Source organism: Homo sapiens, chromosome 9, assembly GCF_000001405.40.
Source record: "Homo sapiens chromosome 9, GRCh38.p14 Primary Assembly".
NCBI classification, from domain to species: Eukaryota; Metazoa; Chordata; class Mammalia; order Primates; family Hominidae; genus Homo; species Homo sapiens.
In genome coordinates, this window is record NC_000009.12 from 82,724,094 (window position 1) to 82,737,535 (window position 13,442).

At 38.6% G+C, this 13,442-nt stretch overlaps 1 long non-coding RNA gene across 1 annotated transcript in view; it reads left to right on the forward strand.

The window, feature by feature from the left end:
- Nucleotides 1–13,442, forward strand: part of LOC107987087 (uncharacterized) — a 288,244-nt gene that overhangs the window by 232,142 nt on the left and 42,660 nt on the right. The gene's annotated exons all lie outside the window — the stretch shown is intronic.

The following is a 13,442-nucleotide window of genomic DNA, read 5'->3' on the forward strand; positions in this document are numbered from 1 at the left end:
TTATCCTGAGCTGAAGGCATTTTGTCTTCTTTCTACCTTGCCAAATATTAAATATGAAATCAGAAGGGAGGAGGGAGGAGAAGACACTGTAAAGGGTTTTTGGAGAGTGAACAAGTGGAGGGTTATACACCTGCACTCTCTCCCTTCCTCAGTTCTTAGATTCGCTGATGCTTCAAGGGAGAAATAACACTTAAAAGTGTTGTATTGGTACTCACGCTCAATCCATAACTCTCCTCTCTCGTCTGTGCTTCTACAGTGCTTGGGGCTGGAGGGAGAGGCGGTAATGGAGACTTTAAAAGTGATCTTTTCATGCTTACTCAGCTCTCTCCCAGTTCCTGTATCCTGCATGTGATGTGCAGAAGGACATGAGGAAGCTTTGACTGAATTCTGAACAGCACATTATTATTCTGCTCCAACACACGCTCTTAGGCCAGCTTTGTTTTGGCCCCCAAGTCAGATGATTTTCATTAGATATTTGAAGTAATCCACAATAAAATAGTAAACCATTGTGTAAGTGGGTACAAATGGTTTGTCTGCCCACAAAAGGAGAGTTAGGTCATGTACCCATAGTATCTGTAAGTGCTGAGAGGGATATCTGACATGTATCATTTAACATCATTTATCTACCACCTCTTTTCCTTTCTAAGTGGAAAGATGGCATGATTTCCTTTAACTTGCAAGTCCTATTTTTAAGAAATAACTGAAGAATTGAAGAGTTGTGAAGAACACTTGAAGAATGAAGTAAACGTAGCTCTGATTGTAAAGTTCCGTTAAGATGCGGGGGTCAATTTCTGATCTTCCAATGCACCATGCTAGTTCTTACTTTATGATGGCTCCTTGTCTGGGATACTCTTCCCATCTCATGCTTACAACTCCTCATCTAACTCCTCTTCATCCTTCAAGTCTAAGTCTAAATGCCATTTTCTAAGGCGGGTTAAATATAGTATAATATAAAGTCAAAATTAAAATAATGATTGAAATTCTCATTTCTTAAAACCAGTGAAAGCAGTAAGATGTTGAGAGAAAGTGATAAAGGGTTGAGTCATCTATAAGTACCCTAATCTTCAGAGTAACTGGAGGTGCCCTTCTAGTGTACCTGAAGACACATTTGCAGATTTGCCTATGCTTCTTCATAGCACACAGCACAATTATAATTAACTGTTCAACACCCGTCTCACTGGGCAGACTACAGATAAAAAAAATAAAGAGGCTTTCAGCTCAGAACAAAAATAGGCTCCGTGAGGGACTATATTGATCAGGACTACTATTCCCAATGCCTAGCATAGTACCTAGGTATTGAATAAAGATTTATTGAGTAAATGAATAAATAAATGCAAGAATGAAGAAATTACATGTCATGTTCATCAGTATTGCTTTACTGAAAAGGAGATTTTGGGAAACAGGCCACATACCATGTATATATGGAATGATAGACATCAATAAATAGGGTATCTCATTCACTTTTCAATATAAAGCACTTCAATATAAAAACTCTGAACTTGTTATTTAACCAACTGTTAGATATGGTATTTTAAGTGAGCTTTGTCATTATCTATATAGCAGGAAGTAATTTTAAAATTCCGAAGTTAATAAATCAATCATCTGTATGTGTGTGTAAGCAGGATGTACAATTATCACTAGGAAAAAAGAAGCAGACCAGGCGCGGTGGCTCACGCCTGTAATCTTAGCACTCTGGGAGGCCGAGGCGGGTGGATCTCTTTAGGCCAGGAGTTGAAGACCAGCCTGGCCAATATGGCAAAACCCCATCTCTACTAAAAATACAAAAAATTAGGCGTGGTGGCACATGCCTGTAGTCCCACCTCCTCATGAGGCTGAGGCAGGAGAATTGCTTGAATCTGGGAGGCAGAGGTTGCAGTGAGCCAAGGTTGTGCCATTGCACTCCAGGCTGGGTGACAGAGCTAGACCCTGTCTCAAAAAAAAAAAAAATAAATAAGGAAAGAAAGCAGAAGTGATTATTAAAAGCAACTGACTCTGGAGAGTGGATCTTGGGGTGCTTCAAATGTCTTTTGCTTCGTTTGTAAGTCCTTCTGTATTATTTGGGTTTTTAGAAATCATGTGAGTATTTCTTTCATTAAAAAACAAAACTTTTTCCTTTTCCATTTGCTAATGACTAAACCTCAGTGGTCATTCACTCATTTCCCACTTCACATCCTCTGCTTTATTATGCTACATGTCTTTTTCAAAGTAATTTCAAGTTTCCCAACACTACATCCACGTCACATACAACTTTATACTCCTGGTGATGTATAGTGCAACATGTTCTACGTAGTATATATTATCTGTTGACTGATTAATATGGGTTGAAGATTATTACTATTAACGGAAATTGTTACCACAAAGGGGTCCCGATCCAGACCCTAAGAGTTGGTTCTTGGAGCTCATGCAAGAAAGAATCTGGGGTCAGTCCACAGAGCAAAGTGAAAGCAAGTTTATTAGAGAACCAAAGAAACAAAAGAGTGGCTACTCCACAGTATACTCATGGTTGCCTCTTGATTATATGCTACACGAGGGGTAGATTATTCATGAGTTTTCCAGGAAAGGGATGGGGATTTCCTAGAACTGAAGGTTCCTCTCCATTTAAGATTACTTAAGGTAACTTCCAGATGATGCCATGCCCTTTGTAAACTGTCATGGCACTGATGGGAGTGTTTTTTTTGCATTCTAATGCATTATAATTAGCACATTATGAGCAGTGAGGACTACCAGTGGTCGCTTTAATTGCCACTTTGGTTTTGGTGGGTTTTGGCTGACTTCTTTACCACATCTCATTTTATCAACGGGGATTTTGTGACCTGCATCTTGTGAAACCAGTAATGCTGACTTCCTGTCTCATCCTGTGACTAAAAATGCCTAGCCCCCTGGGAATGTAGCCCAGCAAATCTCAGCTTCATTTTCATCAGCCCCTACTCAAGATGGAGTTGCTCTGGTTCGATCACCTCTGACAAAATGAGCCTTATTTCTAATTTAATTTTCATTTATCTTTCACACTCTCTAATTCTCTAAAGAGCCCATTATTGTAAACAACCTCACAGCTTTGGATATTGTCCTATTTTCTAATTAAGTGAATATCTTAAGAACATATCATGAAGATACAAGAGTTAACTAATAATCCTCCATATAGAAACAGCCTTAAGGATATGGTGTTTCACCCCAACACCATGACTATGATTCCCTTTGAACATCCAAGGAGCCTACATGATAACCCAATGCAATAATAATAATAATAATAATGTTATAGAAATTTTGAGGCTATCTCAATGTTTATCCATAAAATGCCATACTGTATAATACTATAAAGTCAAAAAATAATGATTGAAGTTCTTTTCATTTTTTAAAACTAATGAGAACAGGAAGAGGCTGGGAGAAAGTAATAAAGGTTTAATTATCTATAAATTCAATAGTCTGAGTGATCAGACTATTTGTTGTCTATTAGAATCATAGTATCATATATAATCCTAGAGTTGAAGAAAACAGAAATGAGTCATTTTTTCCAATTTCTCATCCAGTGCTTCTTTTTGCTAAAACATACCAATAAATAACCATCCTGCCTGGGTTAAACACTCTTTCCCAATGAGATTCATGGTGACTCTAAAATGTCCTAACTTTCAGAAAATTTTCCCTTGTATTGAGACAAAACTATGTGTAAGTTTCATGGGTTGGTATGACCCATTAGGACTACCCAGAATGAATTCAATACTCATTTCCTATTGGATACTTTCTAACATTTGAAGAGTGTTTTTGTCCTTCTGAGTCTTCTCCTTCCTCTTTACTCAATAGGGTTGTGGATATCCTCCAGTGAGGAAATCTGCGTCTAGAAACCACATCCACCTATTCATATTCTCATAAGTACTGTGGCATTTATGTCTTCAGGAATGCCTATTACGTTGGGTTAAGTTTTAAAAATATGGGAAGAGCTGGAATGTCAGACATAGAGATCCTTGTCATTGAAGGAAGCCTAAGAATCCTAAGAAAAAAAATCCAAACATTTGTGCTTGGAAGGAAGTCCCTATGAGAGATGATGGCTTCTAAGGTAAGAGTTTGGAACAAATCCAAGGAAACTTGCCCTTTGTCTACCTACATGAATTTGTCTGGAGAAGGAAGTTAATTTTTAAGTCTCACTGCATAGAAGCTCTGAATTACCTTCTAGAACTATGAATATGGAACCTAAGCAGCAGAAGACAGAGCAGACAGAATTTGTGCATACTTTTTACAAAATCTTTGTCATTTAGTAGCTTAATTTTTGTTTCCCTTATTGCATGACTTAGTTCTCAGGCACCACTTAGTCTTGCTCATTTTTATTCTACATGGATTCAATTGTTGACCTTCCATGACTGTTTCCCCAGGCTTTGAATGGCAATGACCCTGTTAGCGACGTCACCTTTACCACCTGTCTGACTGACACCTTTGCATATCCACTGGGCCAGGGGTCTTATTAATACGTTCTCCTCCCATTATTTCATTAATATCTTGCCTTCATTAAACTACTCTCCTCATTTCAAGATAAAGTGGTTTCTCATTGGGAAAAGAACAATATTTTGAGTGCTCATAGAAAACTTAGTTTTAAAATTCCATGCAAATTACATTTTTTTTTTACTCAGCTCATATCATTATTTTTACCCTGAAGGTAATCAGTGTGAAAACTGTCAAAAATCTTTGCTTTTCCAACTTCTAATCTTCAGAAACAATGGTCTTCCAGTGAGGGCATTTTAAAGCAAAGGATTCAAATTTAGAGTCTTTGTCATTTCAAAGAATGCAGAGGATTGTATGGAAAAGTCAGTTATTCCTTGGACTTCTATTTCTTATTTTGTTTAAAGCATTTCCGATGTCTTCTCAGAACTGAAAGGATACAGGGACTATTCAAATGTAAGAAAAAATTCATGAGCACTCACAGAAACCTTGGGCTGAACCAAAAGTGGGACTCAAATTGAAAAATGACATTGATATCTTTCTTGAAGTGACTAAATTAAGCTCTAAAATTTTATTATTCCCAAGTCATCATCTATGTTCACATCCATTTTATTACAGCCATATTCTAGGTAATTGTCAAATTCCAATTTGTTTTAATTTTTAAGCTGGAGGGGGGCTAATATAAAATTTCAATCTAACAGAAAGTAGTTGGGAAAAGCAGAGCTATCTTTGTCTAGATTGTATTGTCTATTGATAAAGAGAAAAGTATGGAGCTTAAAAAACTTCTACACAAGTCATGTGATTGTCGGCAGTGCTGACATCATCAATAAAGACATCACAACTCTTAAGTCTCAGAATGTGGCCCAAATCACCTGCACCTGTCTCTCTGGGGAAGCTTGTTAAAAATCCAGATTCCGACTGGGCGCGGTGGCTCACCCCTGTAATCCCAGCACTTTGGGAGGCCAAGGCGGGTGGATCACCTGAGGTTGGGAGTTCGAGACCAGCCTGACCAACATGGAGAAACCCCATCTCTACTAAAAATACAAAATTAGATGGACATGGTGGCGCATGCCTGTAATCCCAGCTACTCGGGAGGCTGAGGCAGGAGAATCGCTTGAACCCAGGAGGCAGAGGCTACTGTGAGCCGAGATTGTGCCATTGCTCTCCAGCCTGGGCAACAAGAGCTAAACTCCATCTCAAAAAAAAAAAAAATCCAGATTCCTAGGTCCACCTCAACTACATCTGAGAAGGAATCCATTCAAAACAAAACCAAAAACTTTCAGATGTGTGCAAAATTCACCATGCAAAATTTCCCCATGAAATCCCAGTCTTACAATTCCCTTTATGAGTTGGTCATTTACTAAATCTTTCTCTTTTTACACTTTATTTCCAATATTTCAGGAAATGGTCTATCCGCACTCCCCTCACAAATGTCTCAAAGTCCCCCCACAGGTTGCTCTGCAGATGATAATGCAGATGTCAGTGACTTCCCTTAAAAGATCTCAGAATGCATTTTATCAAAAGGCATATGTCCTGGGTTTTAGAAAGGGTGTTTCATTTCAGGCAGTGGGAAATCATACACTATAATTTCTGACTCAGATTAGCATCACAAAGTCCAGGATCTATTTCTTCCTACTCTCATCTTTGGCACGTTCAAGTGTTTTCCACTTATTTTGCAGTCTGCAATCTACCCCCTCTCCATTGCATCTTATTGTTTGCTTCTTGCTGTTTCTTGAAAATGAAAAGAACAATTGTTGATTGAAGTAATAAAGCTCCCATAAACTGGGGACTTACTGACTGGTTCTCTCCATTAGCATTATAATTCTGACTTGTGATTCAACACTACTGCTTAAGAGTCACTTCTGTCAGTTTCTAGGATAGCACAATTCAGCATTTGAGTTCTCAGGAATTCATAAATTACCCAGAAGAACTTAACATCTATAGATCTGAACAGTGTCTGAAATTGTGCTTTTGCAGACTGATCAAAAAAGCTAAGTCCTATGACTTCCCCAAGCCTGGGTCATCCTACTTTGCAACTCAAAGTCTGCCTGGCATATAAGCAGTGAAGTCAGGATTTGAAAGCTATCCATTTGCTCAAAAATGTCCTTTTTTTTTTTTTTTTTTTTTTTTAAGCAAGCCTGCCGATAACCCTGCCATCAACTTGGAATTAGGACATTAGCGCAATTTATTCAGGCTCCTATTACACAGCAAGTAAAAACACAAGATGGCACAGAAAACTCCATGCATTAGCATGTTATCACATTAGCTTGTTGTCACCCTGGGATAAAGCGGACGAGAGGCAGAGGCCTTGGCAATTTTAACAAGGTACCAAGGTGAAGAACATCAGTTTATAAACTCCTTGAGGAAGTGAACATTTAGCTTTGTAATTTTCAACATAGCTGGCATATCATTCGTATTTAATGAGTATTTGTTGAACCATACTTGGTGCAGAGAGCACCAAGAGGCAAACAAATTATTTGATGTGCTTACTTCTTACCTTGGCTTCTGCCGCTAGAACTCAGTTACCTTGACCTACACTTATTGCTTGTTTGTTTTATTATCCTGACGTTTCTTCCTCTGTGTGTGAGTTTAGATTTCCAAAAGTTTTGTTTCTGACCATCTTATCCTGGAGATAAGGAATAAAGGAACAGACACTAGTCTTTGTGTGTTTGTGACAGTGTAGGGTAGGGGAATTCTAGAAATAATATTTATGATTATCTCCCTTTGAAAAAAAAGGAAAAATCGTTCATAATATGCTGAGATTTAGATTGAGTATGTTGTGATTTAGCATGTATGGTACTTCACAGCGGCAGCAGCAGTAAAGCCTGGGCTTTTAGTGTAATGGCCACCCAAATAATGTACATTGTACCCATTAAGTAATTTTTCATTCCTTACCCCCCTCCCAGTCTCCTACCCTTCAGAGTCCTCAGTGTCTATTATTCCACACTCTATATTGATGTGTACACATTATTTAGCTCTCACTTACAAGTGAGAACATGTGGTATTCGACTTTCCGTTTCTGGATTTTTATACTTAAGACAATGGCCTCCAGTTCCAACCATGTGGCTGCAAAAGACATGATTTCATTCTTTTTTATGGCAGAATGCTATTCCATTATATTGGCTAAAGAAAATGTAGTGTGTACACACAAACACATATATATGGCAGAATGTATATATATAATAGCAGAATAATATGTTATATATATTATCCATATATAAATACATATTATATATGGAATATATACCATATATATAGAATATATAGAAGTGTTATATATATATGGAATGTATGGTATATTATTCTGCCATCATATATAATTTTATATATATATATACATATATATATTCTGCCACACACACACACAGACACACACACACAAACACTACATTTTGTTTATCCAATTATTTGTTGATGGACAGTTAGACTGATTCCATATTTTTGCTATTGTGCTGTGATAAACATATGAGTGCAGGTATCTTTTTGATACAATAATTTTTCTTCCTTTGGGTACACACCCAGAAGTGGGATTGCTGGATCGAATGGTGGTTCCATTTTTAGTTTCTTTGGAAGTCTCCATACTGTTTTCCATAGAGGTTGCACTAATTTACATTCCCACCAACAGTGTATATGTGCTCCCTTTTCTCCACATCATTGTTAACATTTGTTATATTTTGACTTTTTAATAATAGCCATTCTGAGTGGTGTAAGGTGATATTTTGTTGTGCTCTTAGTTTGCACTTCTCTGATGATTAGTGATGCTGAGCATTTCTTATATGCTTTTTGGCCACTTGTATATCTTCTTTTGAACAATGTCTATTCATGTTTTGGGGGAGGGGGGTTTTAAGAATAAATAAACCAATACAAATGAAGCTCCATTTCCAGTGTAGGTGTGGGGAGCTGACAGTGTTTTGGTCAGGAGGAGTGGGGAGCGGGTGTAAAGGGAGAGGAGGAACAGACATGACTTACCATAACAGGAGAATGATGTCCTGCCTGGGGTCCCATAGAGGGAACTGCTGCAGGCAGCATGGCTTTCTCAGAGAATGTGCTGAGTCCTCTATCCCCCATTTGTGTTTGAATGAATAGAGGTGTGGGATTGGATCAGCCTAGCCAAGAAATGGCCCAAGGGATATCCCCCTACAGTAGTCCTCCTGTTAGCTACACTTTTCTAGGGGCGAGAATGAATGTCAGGTGTCTGCAATTATATTGGCCTTGGTTAGACAGTGAGAGAACATACACTCTCAAAGCTGCAAAGAAGGACTGGAAAGGGAATAGCAAAATACTAATCCAGCTATTTTCAACAGAAAAAAATTTAATACCAGGATTTAGGTGCTTACGAAATTGTGGTTATGCTGGAGGAAGTGGGCTTCAGACTGGGTGTTCTAGTAAATTAGACAGTGAGAGAACAGGGTGAAGAGAATAGGGCAGCATACTGATCCTTCTGCCCCAAAATGGTCCCCTACTTGTCTCCCTGGCAATTCCATTTAACTCGACCCAAAATGTTGATTTTTATTTGCTGATTCTGAGTCAGGTCTTTGCAGCTTTGTTGTTGTGCTATGGTTGTTTTGTTCTCTAGCCAATATCTCCCCTCTTCTTGGCTCCCCTTCCTTTGACCCCAGCCTGCTCCAGAAAATGACTTAACAATGTTGCTTTTCTCCACACGGGAAGTGCAGGGCCATACTTCTTGGCTCTCAATTCCATATTGAGGTTTTAATCTACCCCGCTCAATTTGCTTGTAAGCCCAAATGTTCAGCTCCTCAATGTGAGGTACCCTGCTCTTTACAAATGATTTCAAATGTGATTCAAATGACCTCAGACACCTGTTGAGTCCCAGTGAATAACTGTTCCAAGTGAGGGCTTCTGGGTCTACTGTATTGGAAAAAAACTTTCCCTCTTTCCCTGGTGTCAAATGGCTTCACCCACTACAAGCCTTTCACAGAAGAATACCCCAAGAATACAAACCGGAAAGACAGCCCAAGAACACACACTCAATAACAAATAGATCTTGAAAACTGGCACACATAAAACCTTGAAATAGCCACAGAAACAGAGCCCCAGCTTTCACATATTACAATGTACTTTAAACAATAAACCAAAGACCTGTGCTTCTGTCTTATATCTTACTCCTCTCCTTTCCTTTTTTTCGTTCAATTGCTATTTTTAGATTTTTCCTAAAAAAAAAAAAAAAAAACCTTTTTAAAACAGAGACAGGGTCTCACTACATTGGCCAGCTTGGTCTTGAACTCCTGGGCTCAAGCAATCCTCCTACCTTGGCCTCCCAAAGTGCTGGGATTACAAATGTGAGCCACCATGCTTAGCCATTTTTCCTCTTCCTAAGAGAGGAATTTTACCCTCTTATGCTAAGATCACATTTTCAACATGCTAGCAAGTTACATGACCAGGTCTTGAGCTCTTTGAGAATGAGAACTGTCTTAGCCACCTATCTCTCTTTTTCGTTGAGACAGAGTCTCGCTCAGTTGCTCAGGCTGGAACCTCCACCTCCTGGGTTCAATCGATTCTCCTGCCTCAGCCTCCCCAGTAGCTGGGATTACAGGCATGCACCACCACACCCAGCTAATTTTTGTATTTTTAGTAGAGTCGGGGTTTCACCATGTTGGCCAGGTTGGTCTTGAACACCTGATTTCAAGTGACCCACCCTCCTCAACCTTCCAAAGTGCTGGGATTACAGACGTCAGTCAATTGCACCCGGCCTGTTTTACCCATGTCTCTATTCTCAGTACCTAGCATTGGGCCTGGCCCACAGTTACCATATACACTTCAGCAGCAATTCTCTGATACCAAATGGGTGTCCTGTAATTCAATTCCATTCTAACTAACCTCCCAGAGTTAGCACAGTCCCCACAGGGTAAGAGGCTTAGTCTCATAAGACTGCCTCCTTTTCAGATGCCAACTACAAGTCTCAGGTGTCCCCAAGCTTCTTTTACTTCTGCCCAGCCAGCTACAAGTTTGGGGATTCTCACAACTTCCTTCAGATTTGATAATTCACTAGAATGATTCATATAGTGCTAAGTGAAAGCACTATACTTACAATTACTGTTTGTTATAAAAGATATAACTCAGTAATAGCCATATGGAAGATATAACAGGCTAAAGTCTGGGGAAAGAAGGGTGCAAAGGTTCCATGCCTATGGAGTCAGGGTATGCCACCCTCTGATATATTGATATGTTCACCAACCTGGAAACTCTCTGAGCCTCATGTTTCATTACATAGGTTTCACTACATAGGCATGACTGATTAACTCACTGGCAGGGTGTTTGAATTCACTCTCTGCCTTCCTCCAATCCCTGAAGATCGGGGGTGGGGCTGAAAATTCCAACCCTCTAATCACCTGCTTGGTCTTTATGGCATGACCGGACCCTCCCTTGAAACTATCTAAGGACCCACCATGAGTCATCTCATTAGCATAAATTTATGGTAGAAAGGAGCTCATTATGTATAACAGAAGACACTCCTATCAGGAAAATTCCAAGGGTATTTGAAGCTCTGTGCCAGCAGCCGGGGACAAAGACCAGATATATTCTTTATTATATCACACCATCTGAGACACATTTGCCAAAATGAGTTGAGTTGGCTACCTCCAGGTTCCCATTAGTCACTTTATAAAAATTAAATTAAAGGATCTTCTGCAATTCTAGCATATCAAAGTGCTCCCACTGGAAGTAATGTTCTTTAAGCCCTTCCTTGAATATTCATTTAAAACACAGCTTAAATAACCCCCGAGTTGAAAGCCAGAATTTAAGTCCCTTTTTAACTACATGTGATAGGAAATGAATCTCACCACCCCAGATGGGCATTGAAGGCTTGAGTGTATTTACTACTAACGTTTTTATATCACCTTTGAAGTTGCTGTTGTAGGGATATCAGATACCATTATGGCCCAGACTCTGGGTGAATATACTGCCCTGCCAGCTAGAGTAAATATTGAGCACTTTAAGTTTTATCAAGGTAAGCACACAGTAGAATAAAACACTTCTTTGTGCATCTGACTAGTGTTGTTTTTTACTATGAAAACTGAAAAAGAGAATAGAGATGTACAGATACTATGCTTCAGTGCTTTTATCACCTTGCTTAAGAGAAGAAAACATGCCAGGAAAAGGTTTGCCTTTGCATGAAAGGAAAATTTTAAATAGATAGATAGATACAGATATTTACATATATGTATACATATGTACACATAAGAATATGTGTACATATATGTGTGTGTGTATATATATATGCATGTATTTTAATATACAGAGAGTCAGAAAGCTTTTCTCTGGAAAGGAATAAATAGCAAACATTTTAGGCATCGGGGTCTCTATTGCAATTAATCAACTCTGCTATTGTAGTGCAAAAACATCCATAGACATATAAAGGAATGGCCATGACTGTGTCCTAATACAACTTTATTTATGAACACCAAAATTTGAACTTTAATTATTTTTATGTGTCACAAGATATTCTTTTGATTTTTTTTAACTATTTAAAAATGTAAAAACCATTCTTCACTGAACTCATATGAAGAAAGGCAGCAGCCATAGTTTGCTGACCCTTGTTATAGACCAGTAAGGTTAATCTAGTGATGATGTCTCTGCTTAGGTCACGTAATCTGAATGAACCTGAATTCGCTGGGGATTCCAACAAGTAATTTATCTGAACTCCATTGGTTGTAAAAAGAAATCCTTATAAATAGTATCCTTCCGTCTCTCAGCCCACTCTCACCTTTCTCTCTTTTCCCTCCTCTGTCTCTATCTCATTCCTGATAGACAAGAAGGATTTAATGGAAAATGTGCTCCAGCTACTTCCAACATTGACTGCTTATGCTATTAATATCAAGGTAACATGGCTGGTGACAGCTTCTTTCATTGATTCATAATTCATGTCCCCGTTACAAGGTATCTGATCCTATGAGTTATACATATTTCACTCTGAATATGCTAATCTTGTCAGTTTAAATAAAAATAAGACCACAGTTTATTTCTTCTCTAATTGGAGAACTAAGGGAGAAAATGGCTCTGTTGGTGGGGGGCGGGGAATCCCAAGACCTGGAAAATACCTCTGACTCTGAAAGATCAAATCCTATTCAAACCACAGTCGAAGCACCTCTTAGAGATTCTGCCCAATTCAATGGTGTGCGTCCTATGGCAGCATGGCAGTGTTTCAGATGTACTAGCTTTATAGAGTTTCTAGAGATAGCTATTCTTGGCAAATATATTTCAAGATGTAATCGTATTTTTTTAAAGTGTTTTTTAAAAGTCTCTTTTTAAGTGAATAGGTCCATCAATCAGAAAACCCAGAGGCAGGTGGGGGGGAAAAAAAAGGGCAATGATTTTTTTATTGTTATTAAAGGAGAAATTATATCTGAGGCCTGAAGCTCAATTTGTGAAGAGCATGATCCACAGGACTCCTGTTAAAGTTAGGCTGCTGCTGAGACACTTCAAAAGATCATCTTTATTGCAGAACAATTGCCTGACCCAGTTTCCTGGTCAGCAACATACTTTTGTAGAAACTTCAGGAGCTGATGAAAAAGCTCAGCAAAGTTAGCAAGGGTACTTTCATCTGTGGCTCTCGGGAGGGGAAATATGAAAAGGTTTCTAGGTCTCTTGGATTTAGCACTGCCAGGTCTACTGGCATAGAAGCAAAGAATGAAACAAAAGATACGAACATGTTATAAAAGGCAGTGTCTAACTTCTTGGCAAATGTGCTTGCTATTATTGGTTTGTAGAACACAGAGGTCTTTCTGTATTCATAGTCTTTTGCCTGTCAAAATATTTTGATATTGTAATAAAACCCTACTGTAAAATACATCTTGCCCATTGAGTAAGGATTCACTGCTTCGGTATAAAATGATATTCTCTGCCCATTCTTAGGTCTCCTTGAGAAATAACTCTTGGTGCCCAAGCATCTAAACAATATTTAATTTGGAATTCTGACATGCATCATAAAACTAGCATAAAGAGCAACAATGTATGTTTTAATGATTTCAAAGGGGAAAACACATTTGGGAAAACAC